The sequence below is a fragment of the Homo sapiens genome, chromosome 3 (genome assembly GCF_000001405.40).
Source record: "Homo sapiens chromosome 3, GRCh38.p14 Primary Assembly".
Lineage (NCBI taxonomy): Eukaryota > Metazoa > Chordata > Mammalia > Primates > Hominidae > Homo > Homo sapiens.
The window spans coordinates 91,305,136-91,327,517 of NC_000003.12; the positions used below are offsets into that span (position 1 = coordinate 91,305,136).

Here is a 22,382-nt window from a genome sequence, read left to right on the forward strand (position 1 = left end):
TCTATATTGCTGCAAAGAACATGATTTCATTATTTTTGTGGCTGCATGGTATTCTGTGTTGTATATGTACCACAGTTTCTTTACCCAATCCACTGCTGATGGGCACCTAGATTGATTCCATGACTTTGCTATTGTTAATGGTACTGTGATGAACATACGAGTGCATGTGTCTTTTTTTGGTAAAATGATTTCTTTTCCTTAGGGTATATACGCAGTGATGGGATTGCTAAGTCAAATGGTAGTTCTGTTTGAAGTTCATTAAGACATCTCCAAACTGCTGTCCACAGTGGCTGAACTAATTTACATTCCCACTGTTTATAAGCATACTCTTTTCTCCACAGCCTTGCCAGCATCTGTTATTTTTTGTCTTTTTAATAACTGGCACAAGTCATAGTTCTGTTGGGCTCCACTTGTCCAGAGTCTATCCTCTTATCTTACACTATTCCAACTCTCAGGAAGCTTTCAATTCAGTGCTCATGTGGTAACAAGGATCTATTATTCAAACTGGCTAAATTCAGGCTCCCTGCTTTTCCCTCTCACCCCCCACTGTCTGGCAGATATCTTGAAACATCTTATCCTCTTCACTCTCCAGCCTTCTCTCAATGATTTATTAGCTCAAGTTCCACCAATACAGTATGACTTTTCTTGATATCTGTTCCAAAATACATTTTCGTTCTCTCACTGCAACATCAAAATGTGGAAATTGTCAAACTGGACAATACAATCTAGTATTCTGCTGTATCAAATGCTTCCAAGTGACATGATGTGGTTGTGTGTGTGGGCACATGTGTGTATGTCTGTGTGCACACACATGCATGTGCACATAATATATTCATATTTATATTCCAGCTTCTTTTTTCTATCTCCTTGTAGCTTTGCCATTCCTAAATTCACTCAAATCACTATGAATTCATTTACAACGGCCCCCATTTATTAAGCTCCACACACCTTCCAAAATTATGTCCTTCCTTTGCTTAAATGCAGGAACAAGTTTTAAAGAATGACACACTGTTCCTTCACAGTTTGATGAGATCATGTATTACCTTATACACTGCTTAATTTATAAATTTTAGTCATGTCTTTCTTTAGCCTTAACCTCCTAGATTGAAGTTTCCCAGTTGTCCTTTATATGATGGCTATTATTACCAAAGCCAGAAACACATCTTTGGTCATTGATCTACCATTTCTCTCTTAAGATGCATTAGAATTGACTACACTCTTCCAGATTTCAGGTGAAAATACTATAATAGGGTTATAGAATATATTGTTTAGATTTTCATTTCCTTGATAAAAATGCCAACTATTTTAAATTTTAGCCTTAGGTTGATCTGATGTCATCAGAAAACATTCTATAACAATTCTTTGTCTTTAGGTTGTAACCACAAATTTTTGTTTTCATACAGAGAAGGTGTGTAACTATTTTATAATTCTATTTTGGTATTCAAATTCATTTGCCACTCTTCTACATATTAACTCTCGGTACTTATTTCTGTCTTTCCATGTCTTCTTGGTAAACATGATAATAAATCTAAAATATATCCATATAAAATAATAATATCTAATTTGTGGTGTTTAAAATACGATAGACTTAAAAATATTGGGCAAAAATTAGATATACGATGCAAACATATGATTAGAATTCAAGTGTTCTAAGGTCTTTCCAAAGTTCAGAAGGAGGTTAAGATATTTATTAACTTTAGGCTTTAGGTATATTTCATAATAATTTCAAAAGTAATCACAAAAAGAATGGAAGTAGAGTGTGTGACTTCCAAACCAGATGTTGGCAGCGGGGGCGGGAGGCGAAAGTTTTTGACTGTAATAAATTCAGAAGATAGAAAATCAGAATGGAAGAAAAAGGGGATATAGGAAAAGCAGTACACAGAGAAAATGCTAAGTAAACTAGTAGAAGTAAATCCAAAATATTAGAAATAACAATAAAAGTAAATGGACTAAACATACCAGCAAAGAGATAAACATTTCAAATTAGAGAATTTTTTTTAAATCCAGGTTTATGCTACCTATAAAAGACAAGTAAACAAAAAGACAAGTTTAAAATATAAAGAACAGAAAAAGTTAGAAAGTTAAAGCATAGAAAAACTACTAAGGCAAAACTAATCAAATGAAAGCCAGTATAATTAATATTGGAAGGAAGGTTTCATGGCTGGTCAAAGGTGCTGGATTAATATCAGAAAGAAAAAAGAAGACTTTAATAGTTCTCAGACCTGTTTACACATTATAATAATTTTGGAAAAAGTTTTTAAGTTACCAGTGTTTTACCCTCACCAATTAACTTCTAAAAGTGAGGCCTGGGCATGGATGTTTCTAAAAGTTCCCTAGGTACTTATGATACAGAATGAGGATTAATAACTTCCACTTTAAACAAAAAGAATTTTTAGAGATAAAAATATTCATCATATACTAATTTGTTAAATATACTAAATTTGTTAAAAAGAAAACTACAGAACTATTAGACTAAGACATGGGTAAATTCCTCTATTACCTGGGAGAGGGAGGAATGTTTCAAACTATCATTCAACATCCAGAAGCAATAAAATAAAATGAGATTGTATTAAAAAGACACAGGTTTCTGCCTATGAAGTGTTAGCTGCCACAGGAATTGCCACCTCACCATAGCCAAGAAAACCAGATAAAGTATATAAAACAAAAGTTTTCAGATTCTGGGCAACAGAATGTGATCCCTGAGAAAAGGGAAACAAGATTATCAGTGAACTCTAAGTTAATGCCTTCAAACAGTTTTCAGATCACAGTCAAGGAGGGGGCTCCAAATTAAGGAATAGGGATTAAAGTTTGGGAAGGTGGAGACTCCTATAACTGTCATATTTAAAAACAAAGAAGAGACAACTTGACTCAGCTCAGGCTGTCATAACAAAATACCATGGCTGGGTGGCTTAGGAAGCAGGGGTTTGTTTTCTCAAAGTTCTAGAGGCTGGAAGTCTCAGATCAGGATGCCAGGTTCTGATGAGGACTCTCTTCCTGGTTGGCAGATCACTGCCTTCTTGCTGTACCCTAACATGGCAGAGAGAGGAGTGGGGGAAGGAGAAGGGGAGGGTGAGGGAGCCATACTTCAGAACACCACCCCATGACCTCATCTAGACCAATTGTCTCCCAAAGGCCCCATCTCCAAATACCATTACATTAGGGATTAGGGCTTCAATACATAAATTTTATGGTATATAATTCATTGCATAGCAGAACTTCACAGAGAGCTCTGGAGTTCTGCATAGGGATCTTCTTGAGTCTTTGGCTGAATACTGACCTACCCATGAATGATAAGAAACTACCAAAGACTGAGGAAAGCTATAAAACAGCTTCTCATAGCTCACACAGAAGTGAAAATAGCTTGTGTTTCCACAAGCCAGAATGAAGAGACCTCCTAACATGGGTCATTGCATACAGTCCACAGAAGGGTCCTGCCTTAATATTGGAGCTAAATTAATCCCAGGATAAAGACTTCCCTGGGAACACCTAACAAAGCTTAAAATTAAGTCTTAAAAGTTTCAAATTTACCTGCCAGTTATGAAACTACACACCAGAATAAAATCCAATACTCTTTAAAGGAATACAAATAATTTCAGCAAACCATAAAACTCACAATGTCAGAAATAATTTTAGAATTATTAGGCATGCAAATCATGAATGAACCCCCATTCACAATTGCCCCAAAAAGCATAAAATACCTAGGAATATCAGTAACAAGAGAAGTGGAGGATCTCTACAGGAAAATTACAAAACACTGCTCAAATAAATCAGAGATGACACAAATAAATAGAAAAACATGCTGTGCTCATGGATAGGAAGAATCAGTATTGTTAAAATGACCATACTGCCACTAGCAATTTATAGATTTAATGCCATTGACACTAAACTACCATTGACATTCTTCACAGAACTAGAAAAAAAACTATTTTAAAATTCATATGGAACCAAAAAAAAGAGCCCAAAAGCCAAGGTAATCCTAAACAAAAAGGACAAATCTGGAGGCATCATGTTACCTGACTTCAAACTATACTACAGGGCTACAGTAACCTAACCAAAACAGCATGGTACTGGTACAAGAATAGACACATCAACCAATGGAACAGAACAGAGAACCCAGAAATAAGACCACACACCTACAACCATCTGATCTTCAACAAAGCCAACAAAAAGAAGCAATGGGGCAATGGTTCCCTATTTAATAAATGCAGGAGAACTGGCTAGCCGTATACAGAGTATTGAAACTGGACCCCTTTCCTACACCATATACATAAATCAACTCAAGATAGAGTAAAGACTTAAATGTAAAGAATAACACTATAAAAACCCTGGAAGACAACCTAGGCAGTACCATCCTGAACATAAGAATGGGCAAAGAGTTCATGACAAAGATGTCAAAAGCAACTGCAACAAAAGCAAAAATTGACAAATGGGATCTAATTAAAGAGCTTCTGCACAGCAAAAGAAACTATCAACAGAGTAAACAGACAATCTACAGAATGGGAGAAAATGTTTGCAAACTATGCATCTGACAAAGGCCTAATATCCAGCATCTATAAGGAATTTAAACAAATTTACAAGAAAGAAACAACCCCATTAAAAAGTGGGCAAAGAACATGAACAGACACTTTTCTAAAGAAGATATACACACGGCCAGCAATCATATTTTCAAAAGCTCAGTATCACTGATCTTTAGAGAAATACAAATCAAAACCACAATGAGATACCATCTCACACAAGTCAGAAAGGCTGTTATTAAAAAGTCAAAAAATAATAGATGTTGGTGAGGTTGTAGAGAAAAAGAAACACTTTTACACTGTTTTGGGGAGTATAAATTAGTTCAACCATTGTGGAAGACAGTGTGATGATTCCTCAGAGACCTAGAGACAGAAATACAATTCAACCCATCAATGTCTTACTGGCTATATACCCAAAGGACTATAAATTCTTCTATTATAAAGATAAATGCATACATATGTTCACTGTAGCACTATTCACAGTAGCAAAGACATGGAATCAACCTAAATGTCCATCAGTGATAGACTGGTTAAAGAAAATGTGGTACATATATACCATGGGATACTCTGCAGCCATAAAAAGGAAAAAGATCATGTCTTTTGCAGGGACATGGATGGAGCTGAAGGCCATCATCCTTAGCAAACTAACCTAGGAAGAGAAAACCAAATACCACATGTTCTGACTTATAAGTGGGAGCTAAATGATGAGAACACATGGACACATAAAGAGGAACAACACACATTGGGGCCTACCAGATGGCAGAAGTTTGGAGGAGGAAGAGAGTCAGGAAAAATAACTAATGGATACTAGGCTTAATACTTGGCTGATGAATATAAAACAAACCCCCTTGATATACATTTACCTATGTAACAAACCTGCACATATTGCACATGTATCCCTGAATTTAAATAAAACTCATAAAAAATAACAGATATAAATTTTTAAGATACAAAAAATTATCAGGCATGAAAAGCAGAAAAACATGATCCATAATCAGCAGAAAATGTAGTCAATAAAACTAGACTGAGAAATAGCAAAAATGATTAAAAAAGAAGACAAGGACTTTTAAACTGCTAAGATAAATTGTATGAATATGCTTAAGGATGTAAATAAATACATGAATAAACTGAGAAGAGAAAATGGAAGATATCTTTAAAAGCTCAAATGGAATTTACAGAGATTAAAGACACAATCTTAAATGAAAAATGCACTGGGTTGGATTAATAGCATATAGAACACAGCAGAAGGCCAGGCACAGTTGTTCACGCCTGTAATCCCAGCATTTTGGGAGACCAAGATGGGTGGATTGCCTGAGCTCAGGAGTTCAAGGCCAGCCTGATCAACACAGTGAAAGCCCATCTCTACTAAAATACAAAAAAAAATTAGCCAGGCGTGGCAGCATGCGCCTGTAGTCCCAGCTACTTGGGAGGCTGAGGCAGGAGAATTGCTTGAACCTGGGAGGCGGAGGTTGCAGTGAGCTGAGATCATGTCACTGCACTCCAGCCTGGGAGACAGGGCAAGACTCTATCTCAAAAAAAAAAAATAAGAAAAAATAAAAAATAAACATATCCTCATTGAGCTTTGGGGTAATATCAAATAGTTTAATATACCTGTGCTGTGGTTTGAATGTGTCCTTCAACATTTGTGTGTTGAAAACCTAATCCCCAATGCAACAGTATTGAGAGGAGGAAACTAAGATGTGATTAGGTCATGAGGGCTCTGTCCTCATGAACTTATTAAAGCCATTATCTCAGGAGTAGGTTAGTTATTATGACAGTGAATTCTTGATAAAATAATGTTTGGCCCCCTTCCTCTCTCACATGCATGCACTCTCTTGTCATGTGATGCTTTCCACCACATTATGATACAGCAAGAATGTCCTTACCAGATGCAGCCCTTCAATTTTGGACTTCCCAGCCTCTGGATCCATGAGAAAAAAAAAAATATGTTCTTTGTAAATTACCCAGTCTGTAGTATTCTGTTACAACAACACAAAATGGACTAAGACAGCATATAATTAGAGTCCTATAGAAGAAGCAGACAGGAAATTAAAATATTTGAAGAAATAGTGACCAAAAATGTGATGAAAATTATAAAACAACAGATCTGAGGTGCTCAACAAATTCCAGGAACACACAAACAAAACAAAACCAAGGTACATCAAAATCAAATTGCTGAAAATAAGTAATAAAGGGAAAATATTAAATGAGGTTAGAAGGAAAAAAACCCATATTAATTATAAAAGAACAAAGATAATAACAGCTTATTCCTATGCCGAAATCATGAAGACCAGAAGAAAATGGGATGATATTTTTAAGGTGATGAAATAGAAAACTTGTCAACCTAGATTATATCCAAAGCAACTATCCTCTAAGAGTAAAAGAAAACTAAAGTCTTGTTCATGTCAACAAAAGTTGAGAGAATATCAGCAGCACAGCTGCACCTAAATAACCAAGGTAATGGACTACAGACCTTCAAGTAAAACTATGTAGGCTTAACACTAGATTCCTGCTGGGAATTACTTTCATGGACTATTGCTGTGTTGTCATATACTGCAACTCAAGGGTTCCCAGCCTGGCTACACATTATAACTGAGGAACTTTAAAAAAATAGATTATTCAGGTTCCACTCCAAGGCAATTAATTAAGACATCACAATGAGTGGAGTCTGGGCTCCTCTGGCAATTCTAATGTTCAGGTAGGGTTGAAACTGGCTGTCTAATCTCACCCTTCAAATCCCTACCCCATTTCCAATCTCCAACTGGCCCTCCTGAAAGTATCTGACACAGAGGTCAGCCATGTTTTCTACCAGTTAATTTAAAAGAAATATAATGAACAGTGAAAGCCACAAAAGGAATATAAAGTGAATAAATTCCCACTCCCTGCCATCAAAATCCAATTGATAGATTTTTACTTTACCCTCTGGGCTGAGGAAATACTCTGGCCTCTCCTTAGGGCAGCATTTCACATCTTTCATAGCCCAGAGGCAAGTCAATCTTGTGCATGGTTCCATGTCTTGAAAGGAGAGAAAAGGTGGCTTCTTTTATCTCTGTGTTGCCATCCTGACTGCTCCTTACTGTGTTCAGCTTTTGCCTTTTTTTCCTGTAGTCTTTTTCTCTGCAGGATTGACAAACTCCTGAAGTCTCTATGGTCAGTCTTTATGGGTTTCTCTTTCTTGCTCCACTCTATGACAAATTCTGAATCACTGTCATGTTAGAAGGGAGAAATACATCTGTTACTTAGAATCTGGTTTAAACAGAACAGAAATGGCTCCTTAAGCTCAGGTTTGATAATATTTCTTTTAATGGATTCCCTCATAAAATCTGCATGAAAGCAGTTTCTTTCAAACAACAAATGAATTTATAGTGATCATTTCTATGTGGCTATTCAGTATAAATAAGCTAGCCTTTAAGCTGAGGCATCACTGAAATATAGCAGACACTTGTCTCTGTAGAAACAAAACAGAGTGCTGTGCCACATACATTGACCTTTCCAAATAATCTTGCTTTCTGAACCAAAGGAAATGTTAATTTCCTCAAGAGCAAGAGCTGATGCATTTGTCAAAGATAAATGAAAAAGGACACAATAGCAACACACTTCAAATGTGCTCTGGATACCGAAAGATAGCAAACATCAGTGACCTCAAGAACTAAAGTGGGATTTGGAGGTCCCCAAGTATAATGTATTCACTGGCACTTTTTAGTTCAAATGGACAGGCAATGGAGCAGAATTAATGCCCTGTGGAACTCATGGCTGTGCATCAAAATCCACCAAGTTACCAAGACCTATGGGCCTTCCAAACAACCCAGGCAAAGGTGGCACTCTTTACAGTGTGTCTGACTAGCAGAATACAGATTCGATTTTCTGACCCTTGAGAAAAACACAGAGCAGTCACTTTGAGCTAAGACCCCAAATTACAGCTGTGGTTCAACAGCTGTAATTGAAGAGCCAGAGAAAGAAAAGAACAGCCGATTGAATATAGAAATAAATAATTTGTCATCTCAAAATGCTTCCAAAGTGCAATAAAAGACTGTTTCTAATGTAACTGAAATGATTCTGGAGATGAAATGATGTCAGCATTTGGTGAAGGCATATTAGGAAAACACAGTTGCCTGAGTGGAAAACTCACAAAGCCCTTAGCTGGGCCTAATGATGTATGGAAAAAAGGAACATTATGGGGTCACCCACTTCATGCCACCACAAATTAACATGATGGAACACATCAAAGACACCAAGCAGACTCCTTGGCTGTATGCATCAGCGAGGGCCCCTCTGACTTCAACTGGAAGAACTTATGATAATAAAAGTAAAAATGAAAAGAAGGGCTTTGCCAAACTTCCAACAAGAATCCTGTTTGAGGCTACCGGTGGGTGGACAGGAGAGCGGGAGGTGAGGGAGAAGGCATGGTGCAGGGCACACAATTATGCCTTTGGAAATGGAAGGGAAAACATGGACCCTACATTTCTTTAAGATAATACGGTTTAGTTCAACAAACATTAACTGAACATTATTAAATGATAGGCAGACATTATACTTAGCACTGAGAATTCTAGAAAATCACAACACTTACTGTCATGAAGTTACTGCCTGGTGGAGAATAAATTATGTACTACAATCTGTTTATGCTAAAAACACATATAAAGCCGAAAATGATTTGTTCTATCTGAAAAATCAAAAAGAATCCACACATGCAGATATGGTAAGCATGGGTTTGAAGTGTGAATATGAATTCACTATATGGTAAGCATGGGTTTGAAGTGTGAATATGAATTCACTATATGGTAAGCATGGGTTAGAAGTGTGAATATGAATTCACTATGCTGAAGGGTCAGGAAAGGACATACCGACCTGGCCCTAAGAATGAAGTATTACAATTGGAGTGAATATCCAGAACCACTATTGCCAAGGAACTATTTTCTTTTTCTCCAATTCCTCTCTTCACATTTTCTTTTTTTTTTTAAGGGTGTAATCCCTAGAATTTGTTTTTTGTTTTTTTTTAATTATACTTTAAGTTTTAGGGTACATGTGCACAACGTGGAGGTTTGTTACATATATATACATGTGTCATGTTGCTGTGCTGCGCCCATTAACTCGTCATTTAACATTAGGTATATCTGCAAATGCTATCCCTCCCCCCTCCCCCAACCCCACAACGGGCCCCGGTGTGTGATGTTCCCCTTCCTGTGTCCATGTGTTCTGATTGTTCATTTCCCACCTATGAGTGAGAACATGTGGTGTTTGGTTTTTTGTACTTGCGATAGTTTGCTGAGAATGATGGTTTCCAGCTTCAACCATGTCCCTACAAAGGACGTGAACTCATCATTTTTTATGGCTGCATAGTATTCCATGGTGTATATGGGCCACATTTTCTTAATCCAGTCTATTGTTGTTGGACATTTCGGTTGGTTCCAAGTCTTTGCTATTGTGAATAGTGCTACAATAAACGTACGTGTGCATGTGTCTTTATAGCTTCATGATTTATAATCCTTTGGGTATATACACCCAGTAATTGGATGGCTGGGTCAAATGGTATTTCTAGTTCTAGATCCCTGAGGAATTGCCACACCGACTTCCACAATGGTTGAACTAGTTTACAGTCCCACCAGCAGTGTAAAAGTGTTCCAATTTCTCCACATCCTCTCCAGCACCTGTTGTTTCCTGACTTTCTAATGATCGCCATTCTAACTGGTGTGAGATGGTATCTCATTTGTGGTTTGATTTGCATTTCTCTGATGGCCAGCATTTTCTCATGTGTCTTTTGGCTGCATAAATGTCTTCTTTTGAGAAGTGTCTGTTCATATCCTTCGCCCACTTGTTGATGGGGTTGTTTGTTTTTTTCTTGTAAATTTGTTTGAGTTCGTTGTAGATTCTGGATATTAGCCCTTTGTCAGATAAGAGGATTGCAAAAATTTTCTCCCATTCTGTAGGTTGCCTGTTCACTCTTATGGTAGTTTCTTTTGCTGTGCAGAAGCTCTTTAGTTTAATTAGATCCCATTTTTCAATTTTGACTTTTGTTGCCATTGCTTTTGGTGTTTTAGACATGAAGTCCTTGCCCTTGCCTATGTCCTGAATGGCATTGCCTAGGTTTTCTTCTAGGGTTTTTATGGTTTTAGGTCTAACATTCAAATCTTTAATCCATCTTGAATTAATTTTAGTATAAGGTGTAAGGAAGGGATCCAGTTTCAGCTTTCTACATATGGCTAGCCAGTTTTCCCAGCACCATTTATTAAATAGGGAATCTTTCCCCGTTTCTTGTTTTTCTCAGGTTTGTCAAAGATCAGATAGTTGTAGATATGTGGCATTATTTCTGAGGGCTCTGTTCTGTTCCATTGGTCTATATCTCTGTTTTGGTACCAGTACCATGCTGTTTTGGTTACTGTAGCCTTATAGTATAGTTTGAAGTCAGGTAGCGTGATGCCTCCAGCTTTGTTCTTTTGGCTTAGGATTGACTTGGCAATGTGGGCTCTTTTTTGCTTCCATATGAGCTTTAAAGTAGTTTTTTCCAATTCTGTGAAGAAAGTCATTGGTAGCTTGATGGGGATGGCATTGAATCTATAAATTACCTTGGGCAGTATGACCATTTTCATGATATTGATTCTTCCTACCCACGAGCATGGAGTGTTCTTCCATTTATTTGTATCCTCTTTTATTTCATTGAGCAGTGGTTTGTAGTTATCTTTGAAGAGCTCCTTCACATCCCTTGTAAGTTGGATTCTTAGGTATTTTATTCTCTTTGAAGCAATTGTGAATGGGAGTTCACTCATGGTTTGGCTCTCTGTTTGTCTGCTATTGACGTATAAAAATGCTTGTGATTTTTACACATTGATTTTGTATCCTGAGACTTTGCTGAAGTTGCTTATCAGCTTAAGGAGATTTTGGGCTTAGATGATGGGGTTTTCTAGATATACAATCATGTCATCTGCAAACAGGGACAATTTGACTTCCTATTTTCCTAATTGAATACACTTTATTTCCTTCTCCTGTCTAATTGCCCTGGCCAGATCTTCCAACACTATGTTGAATAGGAGTGGTGAGGGAGGGCATCCCTGTCTTGTGCACGTTTTCAAAGGGAATGCTTCCAGTTTTTGCCCATTCAGTATGATATTGGCCATGAGTTTGTCATAGATAGCTCTTATTATTTTGAGATACATCTCATCAATACCTAATTTATTGAGAGTTTTTAACATGAAGCATTGTTGAATTTTGTCAAAGGCCTTTTCTGCATCTATTGAGATAATCATGTGGTTTTTGTCTTTGGTTCTGTTTATATGCTGGATTACATTTATTGATTTGCGTATGTTATACCAGCCTTGCATCCCAGGGATGAAGCATACTTGATCATGGTGGATAAGCTTTTTGATGTGCTGCTGGATTTGGTTTGCCAGTATTTTATTGAGGATTTTTGCATCGATGTTCATCAGGGATATTGGTCTAAAATTCTCTTTTTTTGTTGTGTCTCTGCCAGGCTTTGGTATCAGGATGATACTGGCCTCATAAAATGAGTTAGGGAGGATTCCCTCTTTTTCTATTGATTGGGATAGTTTCAGAAGGAATAGTACCAGCTCCTCCTTGTATCTCTGGTAGAATTCAGCTGTGAATCCGTCTTGCCCTGGACTTTTTTTGGTTGGTAAGCTATTAATTATTGCCTCAATTTCAGAACCTGTTATTGGTGTATTCAGAGATTCAACTTCTTCCTGGTTTAGTCTTTGGAGAGTGTATGTGTCAAGTAATTTATCCATTTCTTCCAGATTTTCTAGTTTATTTGCATAGAGGTGTTTATAGTATTCTCTGATGGTAGTTTGTATTTCTGTGGGATTGGTGGTGATATCACCTTTATCATTTTTTATTGCATCTATTTGATTCTTCTCTCTTATCTTCTTTATTAGTCTTGCTAGTGGTCTATCAATTCTGTTGATCTTTTCAAAAAACCAGCTCCTGGATTCATTGATTTTTTGAAGGGATTTTTGTGTCTCTATTTCCTTCAGTTCTGCTCTGATCTTAGTTATTTCTTGTCTTCTGCTAGTGTTTGAAGGTGTTTGCTCTTGCTTCTCTAGTTCTTTTAATTGTGATGTTAGGGTGCCCATTTTAGATCTTTTCTGCTTTGTCTTGTGGGCATTTAGTGCTATAAATTTCCCTCTACACACTGCTTTGAATGTGTCCCAGAGATTCTAGCATGTTGTGTCTTTGTTCTCATTGGTTTCAAAGATCATCTTTATATCTGCCTTTATTTTGTTATGTACCCCGTAGTCATTCAGGAGCAGGTTGTTCAGTTTCTATGTCGTTGAGTGGTTTTGAGTGAGTTTCTTAATCCTGAGTTCTAGTTTGATTGTACTATCGTCTGAGAGACAGTTTGTTATAATTTCTGTTCTTTTACATTTGCTGAGGAGTGCTTTACTTCCAACTATGTGGTCAATTTTGGAATAGGTGAGGTGTGGTGCTGAAAAGAATGTATATTCTATTGATTTGGGGTGGAGAGTTCTGTAGAAGTCTATTAGGCCCACTTGGTGCAGAGCTGAGTTCAATTCCTGGATATCCTTGTTAACTTTCTGTCTCGTTGTTCTGTCTAATGTTGACAGTGGGGTGTTAAAGTCTCCCATTATTATTTTGTGGGAGTCTAATTCTCTTTATTGGTCTCTAAGGACTTGCTTTATGAATCTGGGTGCTCCTGTATTGGGTGCATATATATTTAGGATAGTTAGTTCTTCTTGTTGAATTGATCCCTTTACCATTATGTAATGGCCTTTTTTGTCTCTTTTAATCTTTGTTGGTTTAAAGTCTGTTTTATGAGAGACTAGGATTGCAACCCCTGTCTTTTTTTCTTTTCCATTTGCTTGGTAGATCTTCCTCCATCCCTTTATTTTGAGCCTATGTGTGTCTTTGCACAGGAGATGGGTTTCCTGAATACAGCACACTGATGGGTCTTGACTCTTTATCCAATTTGCCAGTCTGTGTCTTTTAATTGGAGCATTTAGCCCATTTACATTTAAAGTTAATATCATTATGTGTGAATTTGATCCTGTCATTATGATGTTAGCTGGTTATTTTGCTCGTTAGTTGATGCACTTTCTTCCTACCCTTGATGATCTTTACAATTTGGCATGTTTTTGCAGTAGCTGGTACTGGTTGTTCCTTTCCATGTTTAGTGCTTCCTTCAGGAGCTCTTTTAGGGCAGGCCTGGTGGTGACAAAATCTCACAGAATTTGCTTGTCTGTAAAGGATTTTATTTCTCCTTCACTTATGAAGCTTAGTTTGGCTGGATAAGAAATTCTGGGTTGAAAATTCTTGTTTTTAAGAATGTTGAATATTTTCCCCCACTCTCTTCTGGTTTGTAGAGTTTCTGCCGAGAGATCAGCTGTTAGTCTGATGGGCTTCCCTTTGTGGGTAACCCGACCTTTCTCTCTGGCTGCCCTTAACACTTTTTCCTTCATTTCAACTTTGGTGAATCTGACAATTATGTGTCTTGGAGTTGCTCTTCTTGAGGAGTACCTTTCTGGTGTTCTCTGTATTTCCTGAATTTGAATGTTGGCCTGCCTTGCTAGATTGGGGAAGTTCTACTGGATAATATCCTGCAGAGTGTTTTCCAGCTTGGGTCCATTCTCCCCATCACTTTCAGGTACACCAATCAGACGTAGATTTGGTCTTTTCACATAGTCCCATATTTCTTGGAGGCTTTGTTAATTTCTTTTTATTCTTTTTTCTCTAAACTCTCTTCTTGCTTCATTTCATTCATTTGATCTTCCATCAATGATACCCTTTCTTCCAGTTGATTAAATAGGCTACTGAGGCTTGTGCATTCATCATGTAGTTCTCGTGCCATGGTTTTCAGCTCCATCAGGGTCTTTAAGGACTTCTCTGCATTGGATATTCTAGTTAGCCATTCGTCTAATCTTTTTTCAAGGTTTTTAACTTCTTTGCCATGGGTTCAAACTTCCTCCTTTAGCTTGGAGTAGTTTGATCATCTGAAGCCTTCTTATCTCAACTCATCAAAGTCATTCTCCATCCAGCTTTGTTCCATTGCTGGTGAGGAGCTGTGTTCCTTTGGAGGAGGAGAGGTGCTCTGATTTTTAGATTTTTCAGTTTTTCTGCTGTTTTTTTCCTCATCTTTGTGGTTTTATCTACCTTTGGTTTTTCATGATGGTGACCTACAAATGGGGTTTTGGTGTGGATATTCTTTCTGTTTGTTAGTTTTCCTTCTAACAGTCAGGACCCTCAGCTGCAGGTCTGTTGGAGTTTGCTGGAGGTCCACTCCAGACCCTGTTTGCCTGGGTATCAGCAGTGGAGGCTGCAGAACAGTGGATATTGGTGAGCAGCAAATGTGGCTGCCTGATCATTCCTCTGAACGTTTTGTGTCAGAGGAGTACCCGGCCATGTGAGGTGTCAGTCTGCCACTACTGGGGGGTGCCTCCCATTTAGGCTACTTGGGGGTCAGGGACCCACTTGAGGAGGCAGTCTGTCCATTCTCAGATCTCAAGCTGCGTGCTGGGAGAACCACTACTCTCTTCAAAGCTGTCAGACAGGGACTTTGAAGTCTGCAGAGGTTTCTGCTCTCTTTTGTTTGGCTATGCCTTGTCCCCAGAGGTGGAGTCTATAAAGGCAGGTAGGCCTCCTTGAGCTGCAGTGGGCTCCACCCAGTTCGAGTTTCCAGCTGCTTTGTTTACCTACTCAAGCCTGAGCAATGGCGAGTGCCCCTCCCCTAGCCTCACTGCCACCTAGCAGTTTGATCTCAGACTACTGTGCTAGCAATGAGCAAGGCTCCATGGGCATAGGACCCTCTGAGCCAGGCACACAATATAATCTCCTGGTGTGCCCTTTGCTAAGACTGTCGGAAAAGTGCAGTATTAGGGTGGGAGTGACCCGATTTTCCAGGTGCCATCCATCACCCCTTTCCTTGGCTAGGAAAGGGAATTCCCTGACCCCTTGCCCTTCCCTGGTGAGGCGATGCCTCGCCCTGTTTTGGCTCAGGCTCGGTGTATGGCACCCCCTGTCTGACAATCCCCAGTGAGATGCACCCGGTACCTCAGTTGGAAATGCAGAAATCATTCATCTTCTGCATTGCTCGTGCTGGGAGCCATAGACTGGAGCTGTTCCTATTTGGCCATCTTGGCTCCACCCTCATATTTTCTCTTGAACGTACTCCAAACAGTCATTTGATGCTACCGCTTCACTAAAATACATTATGCCAAGGTCACCAATAATCATTCTGTTGCTGAATTCAAAATCGATTTTCAATCCTTACAATTTCACCTACTGACAACATTTAATAGAATATACTACATACTCTTTTTGGAAACACTTTCTTCCTTTGGCTTCTGGGACAGCACAGTCTCTTGCTTCTCCAATCTCTAAGACCACTCCTTAGGTCTTCTTTGCAGTTTCTCCCTCATTTCTTTACACTCTAAATGTTGGAGGGCCTCAGGACAAGGCCCTCAGTCCTCTTTCTTCTTTAATCTATCCAAATTAACTTCCTAAGAGATCTCACCCAGTCTCATACTTTTAAAAAGCGTCTGCATGTTGATAACTCCAAAATTCAAACCTCTGGTCTGGATCTCAACCACAAATTTCAAGTCCATATATCTCACTGCCCTCTAAAGAATTCTACTTTTAAGTCTCATAGAAATCTCAGCCTTAACATATCTCAAAAGAAACTCCTTACTCCCTCCTCAACATGTTCCTACAGGTTGCTATTACTTAGATCTTCCCCACCTAAGTAATAGCATCTCCATTTTTTATTATTCATGTCAGAAATCTTGGTCACCCATTAGTCTTCTTTTTTACTCACATCCCATATTCAACCTCAGCACCAAATCTTATTGACTCTTCTTCCAAAATACATCCAGAATCTGACCCTTTCTCAGAATTTCTATTGCAAAAATCCTGGTCCATAGGGCAATCATCTCTCATTGGGAATATTGTAATAGCCTCCACAATGGGCCTCCCTGCTTCTATCTATTCCTGTTATCAGAATGATTGTTCAAAAACGTCAATCAGATTATGGCATTCCTCTGCTCAGATCTGTCCAATGACTTCCTACCTGAGTCAGAGTAAAATCAACAGTTCCCTCCCAGCACTATCCTGACCTCACCTGCTATCACATTTGCCTACTCCCTGCTGGCTCTGCCTCAGCCATGTTGACCTCATTTCTAGTCCTCAAAAGTGCCAAGCGCTCCCCCACTTCAGGACCTTTGCACTTACTATTTCCTCTGCTTCAAATGGTCTTACCTCATGGAATCACAAGATTCCCTTCCTGACTTTCTTTATATTTATAATACACCTGTGCAATAATGTCTTCAAGGAACACTTTTTATAAAACAGCAACTCTCCCCCTGACTCTAACATTTTCTATTCCCCTTTCCCTGCTTTTTCTAAATTGCAAAATTGCCACATGATATATGTGTATATTTATTTGTCTGTCTACCCCCATCAGAATATAAGTTCTTGAGGGCCAGAACATTATCTGCTGTGTTCACTGGTGTACCCCCAGCACCTACAATAGTGCCAGTTGTACAATAGGCACCCAATAAATATTTATTGACTGACTACATGAATGAAAAGAAATGGAGGCCAGCTGTGGTGGCTCACACCCATAATCCCAGCACTTTGGGAGGCTGAGGTGGGCGGATCACCTGAGGTCAGAACTTCAACACCAGCATGACCAACATGACGAAACCCCATCTCTACTAAAAATACAAAATAAGCCGGTCATGGTGGTGCATGCCTGTAATCCCAGCTATTCGGGAGGCTGAGGCAGGAGGATCATTGAACCCAGGAGGCAGAGGTTGCAGTGAGCAGAAATCATGTCACTGCACTCCAGCCTGAGCAATAGAGTGAGACTCTGTCTCAAAAAAAAAAAAAAAAAAAGAAAGAAAGAAGGAAAAGAAAAGAAAAGAAAAAGAAAAGAGAAAGAAAAGGCTCCTAGCGCCTGAACACTCAGAAGAAAGCCAGTTCAGAAAGAAGCAGCTAGAGATTGATGTGAAAAACACATCATTCCTTTCTTGCTTATATAAACAAAACACATGCACATGCACTCATACATGCACAGACACATAGTACGCACTGAAATTCTCATAACCATATATAGACTCAATCACTATAAGGCCCTCTTATAAACTTCACAAACTTGCTAATTTAAGAACCTCTTCTTAGTTGGCAAACATTTTCTATAGTGAACACAAGATAGTAAATAGTTTAAGCTTTTTGATCTCTGTTCCATATGATCTCTGTTCAACTACTCAGCTCTGCCATTGTAGCACAAAAGAAGCTATAGAAAAAAAATCTTCTTAAGTAGAGTTAAATATTTGGACTAGATTCATACTCGAACTTTACCTGACTAGTAGTAGGGTCCAGATTCTACTGCCTTTGGAGAAAAATTTATACTAAAATTTTTCTTTAAGAACTTTTGGAGAAATATAAGTACTAAAGTTTAATTTGTGCATGTCCTTCTACTAGCAATTTCATCCTAGGTATGTAACCTAAGAAAATCCTCTCACATATGCACAGAAGAGATACACACAAAATGTTCACTGCAGCATTATTCATAATAGAGGAAAATTGGAAAAAATCTAAATATCCATCAATGGGAAAATGGATAAATGGACTATGGTAGATTCATACAGTAGAATATTAACTGGTACTTCAGAATTAGAGCCTGGATAAATCTCAAAAGCATTGATTGAGCATCTGAACAAGTTGCAGGATATATACCATATCATATACATAAACTTAAAATGTGTAACACAATACTATATATAACTTGTGGATATATAAGAAACATAGTAAGAGTATAAAATGATCAACACCAATTTCAGTAGAGTGACTGTCTCACCCCACTGTCTTCAGTGGGAGACACAGTAGGAAGGGAAAGAGGTAATGAGGGGCTTTGACTGTATCTGCAGTGACTTATTTCTTGAAAAGAACATATATCTGCAGGAATATGTCAAGGTTTTAAGATTTTACAAAACTTGGTGGTATTTTTCAGTATTTCTCTTTGCTTTCCTATGTGCTTGAAATATTTCATAATTAAAAAAATGACTCCATTCCCCCAAAATTGAGGATAACCAGATAAACAGTCCCCTCAACACAGTGTGGCATTAATGAGATTCAATTATGTTTACAAGGGCATTCCAGGTGGAAAAACTGTATTTGCATAACTGCTTATTTTGGGTAACACTGATAGAGTTAAATCATGAAGGATCTTGTAAGTCATAATAAGCAGTTGGAATTTTATCCTGTTGGCACTTGAAAGTCATTGAATTTTCAGGAAGGGAGTAACATGATTTGATTTAAATTTTATTGAGATCTCTCTTGGGGAGCAATTTGAGGAATAGAATAGAGGGTTAAAATGAATGGAAGTAGTAAGACCAGTTTGGAGGCTTTTACAATGATCCATGCAAGATATAAGGGAGTCCTGGAGTAAGTGGCACTGAAGATGGAGAAAAGTAGATGAATGTAAAAGTGTTTAAGAAGTAAAATCAGGCCAGGCACGGCGGTTCATGCCTGTAATCCCAGCACTTTGGGAGGCCAAGGTGGGTGGATCACTTGAGGTCAGGAGTTCAAGACCAGCCTGGCCAACATGGCCTTGTCTCTAGTAAAAATACAAAAATTAGACAGACATGGTGGCAAACACCTGTAATCCCAGCTACTTGGTAGGCTGAGGTGGGAGAATCACTTGAACTTGGGAGGCGAAGGTTGCAGTGAGCCGAGATTGAGCCACTGCACTCCAGCCTGGGTGACAGAGTGAGACTCAATCTCAAAAAAAAAAAAAAAAAAAAAGAAGAAGAAGGAAGAAGGAAGGAAGAAGGAGAAATAAACTCAACTGGAGTCTGATGTGCAAAGTGCAGAAGGAAGTCCAGGGTGCCTTTCAGTTTTCTAGCCTGTTGGAATGAGTGGATAATGATTGTGCTCACTGGAATGGGGAGTAAGGGGAAGGAAGTGCAGATTTGGGCATGGCAGGGAAGATAAAGAATTGATGCATGTTGAATTCCAGTCTCGATTTAGACATTCCTGAGGAGGATATCCATGAGGCATGTGGATGAGTAGATCTGCAGCTTTAGGTGAAAATTCATGAAGATAAATATTTGGTGTTCATCCATGTATAGCTGGCAGTTAAAACCATGAAAATGAAGGAGATGTCCTGGGATAGTATAGAGACTGGAGATTAAGGAGAGAAGAGAACCAAGGACAGAATCTGGAATCACCACCACATTGAATGAGACACAGCGAAGAGAATTCCACGTAGAAGGCTGAGCACAAATTGGTGGAAATGTGGCAGAAGAGTGCAGAGATCATGGAAGGCAGCTTCATGACATTAAGCCTGAGTGCTAGAATCACAGCACAAACCCTCTGCCCTCTCTTGTACTAAAAATGATTGAGAAATGCCTCCTCAATCTGAAGGCTAATTTCTCCACCTGAGCTTTAAATAACTTCAAAAGTGAATGTGTAAACCTATGTAGAATATTGATCTGCTGCCAAGAAAGTCTTAAGGGGATCAATTTCCATATCCTAAAATTCCATATGAACCCTCCTAAAACTGACCTACACACTTTGGGTTCAGGCACTGAAAAAATTCTCCTTTCTCACTTCTCCATTTGCAGTCACCATCTTTCCCCTTCACAAAAGAAAGGCCTTCTCCTCATCTATCCCTAATGGTAATCAGATAAATTTCCTTAGAATATAAAAACCTCCAACAGGTCAAAGAAGCACATCAAGATTTTAGCCTTGAGCAAAGTACTCTTGAATTGATTGAGGCACCAAAAACATATGATGAACCTACGTTTTTCCCTTACACATTTCTGTTAAGGGCACAGCCTGGCTCTAGAAGCCTATGTTCTGTATCCATCTCCTTTGTGACCACTTTCGCTCCTTTTCATCTCACCTCTTATTCCCATGTCCAGTTCTTCAAAGGCTTTGACCAACTTCATGCAGGTACAACCTAGAAGCTTCTGGCTTCAGTTTCTCTGATGTGGATACCAGTGGGAACTCACACAAATGCAACCCAACTGTGTGGGAAGTTACTCTGTAGAGTAATCCTTGAACCATGGCAGTAGGTAGATAAAGGCTTCCCCCTCTGTTCACCAAGAGACAATCCTGAGACACATTTCATTAGGATTCTCTGATGATCCACTGTTATCCAGCAGCCAATCTCCTATAATAGTAGCCAGCTGAATAAAGCTTCCTTTATTGGCTCTCCTGCTTCCTCCTTCACTCACCTGTGTCACTCCTCCCCGTATGCAAGCATTTGTTTTAGGCTCTGCTATGGGAGAACCCAGGAAAAGAGAGTTAAGATGTTCTGAATTCAGATATTTTGTAGGATGGGGCAGAAGAAATGAGGGTGATGTCATTTACCAACTTCCCCTCTTCCATCTCTGGACTACTACCAAGGAACACATCACGTTAAGGAGAATGCTATGAGAGCAAAGCAATGAGAGAGAATACAGGAAAATGCGGAAGTTTCAGTGCCTTATTTTACCAAGCAACAAACTCAAGGCAAGGCTCTGTGGAGTACCCTTCTATTTGCTCGAGAATAGACTATTTGAGATATGCGGTAGGCATTTCGGGAAATCCAGTCGAGTATGAGGTTCAACCCTCTGCAATTTTTTTTTTTTTTTTTTAATGAAAAGAGCGTGAGAAGAACTCAATTCAGCTGCGGCTTCATCGAGGACATAGGTGTATGTGTTCATGATTTCAAGGATGAGGTGAAAAAGCTCCTCAGTCAGCCAGTGTTACAGCTTCAAATAAAAGGAACACATATTGAAGGTAAGTTAGCATTTTATATTAAACATTTATTCAGACATGTAAAAGAAACAATTTTATTAACTCATTACTAAAATATTTAAGCAACGAAACCTCCTGCTTGTTGCCTCTTGTCACTCACTTCTCTGCTCATTCATTTCTATTATGTGTTTATTAGATTTAGGTTAACTTAATAGAAATATGTTATTGATTTTATTATACATAGTTTAAAATTGTCAATTCACTTCTTGTAAGTTCTACATTTACTGGTGGCCCTATACCTTCTTTTTTTTTTTTTTTTTGTCTTTCATTTGTTTCTTGCTATAAATTTCCACAAAGCAGTTAAAATGTATCTTTAAAGCAAAACATTTCCTTGTGTATGGAAATAGGATAAAATGTTTCCAGAGCAATTAGGATATAATGCCTTGAAGTTTAGAAAACTCACACTATTAGTGTTTTTTCTCCCTCTCCGAAGCAGATACGCTGTTCAGTTCTTTCAAATGTGTGAGCAGTTGTCTTAAACTATAAAATGGAACTACCAATCTAGCTATGTATAAAAATACTCAAGAACGTGACTCTTTCTAACCTCACATCTTTCCAAGGTACTTTGAGATTACCTGGAAAATTGTAATTTAGATGAATATGTAGGTCTGGATTCACAGTCAATGGGAAAAGTCCTAAAATGCACAATTTCCAGGGTTTCTTTTCTTTTTTTTTTTTTTTTTTTGGCGGGGAGTGGTTTTACTCAATGGCCATCTAGTGTTAGCTCCATAAACAAGTTGCCTCTAAGTGAAAGTATAGTTGGTATAAGGGGCTTTCATCTCAGGAGAGAGGATTGCTTGAGCCTGGGAGGTCAAGCTTGCCGTGAGCCATGATCCCACCACTGCATTCCAGCCTGAGCAACCCTATTTAAAAAAAAAAAAAAAAAAGGCATTGAAAAGCCTTGATAAAGCCTTCTTGATGTATTTCCCAGGAAATGAGAAAGTTATTCTAAGGGCCAGGTTAAAGAATCCTTTTAAGTCAGCACTTTTCTGTTTTTTGTCTTCAACAAAATTAAAGGGAGGTATAACAGTGGTCAATAGCTAGATTTTTAAATATAATTTTTGATAACATATCACTATGAATTTGAGTGTATGACTT

General features: G+C 38.4%; 1 annotated feature.

The window, feature by feature from the left end:
- Positions 1 to 22,382: part of a centromere (Linear centromere model derived predominantly from reads generated in PMID: 17803354. This region does not represent an actual centromere sequence, as long-range ordering of repeats and unmapped WGS contigs is not provided by the model. For details of model production, see http://arxiv.org/abs/1307.0035.) that runs on past both edges of the window.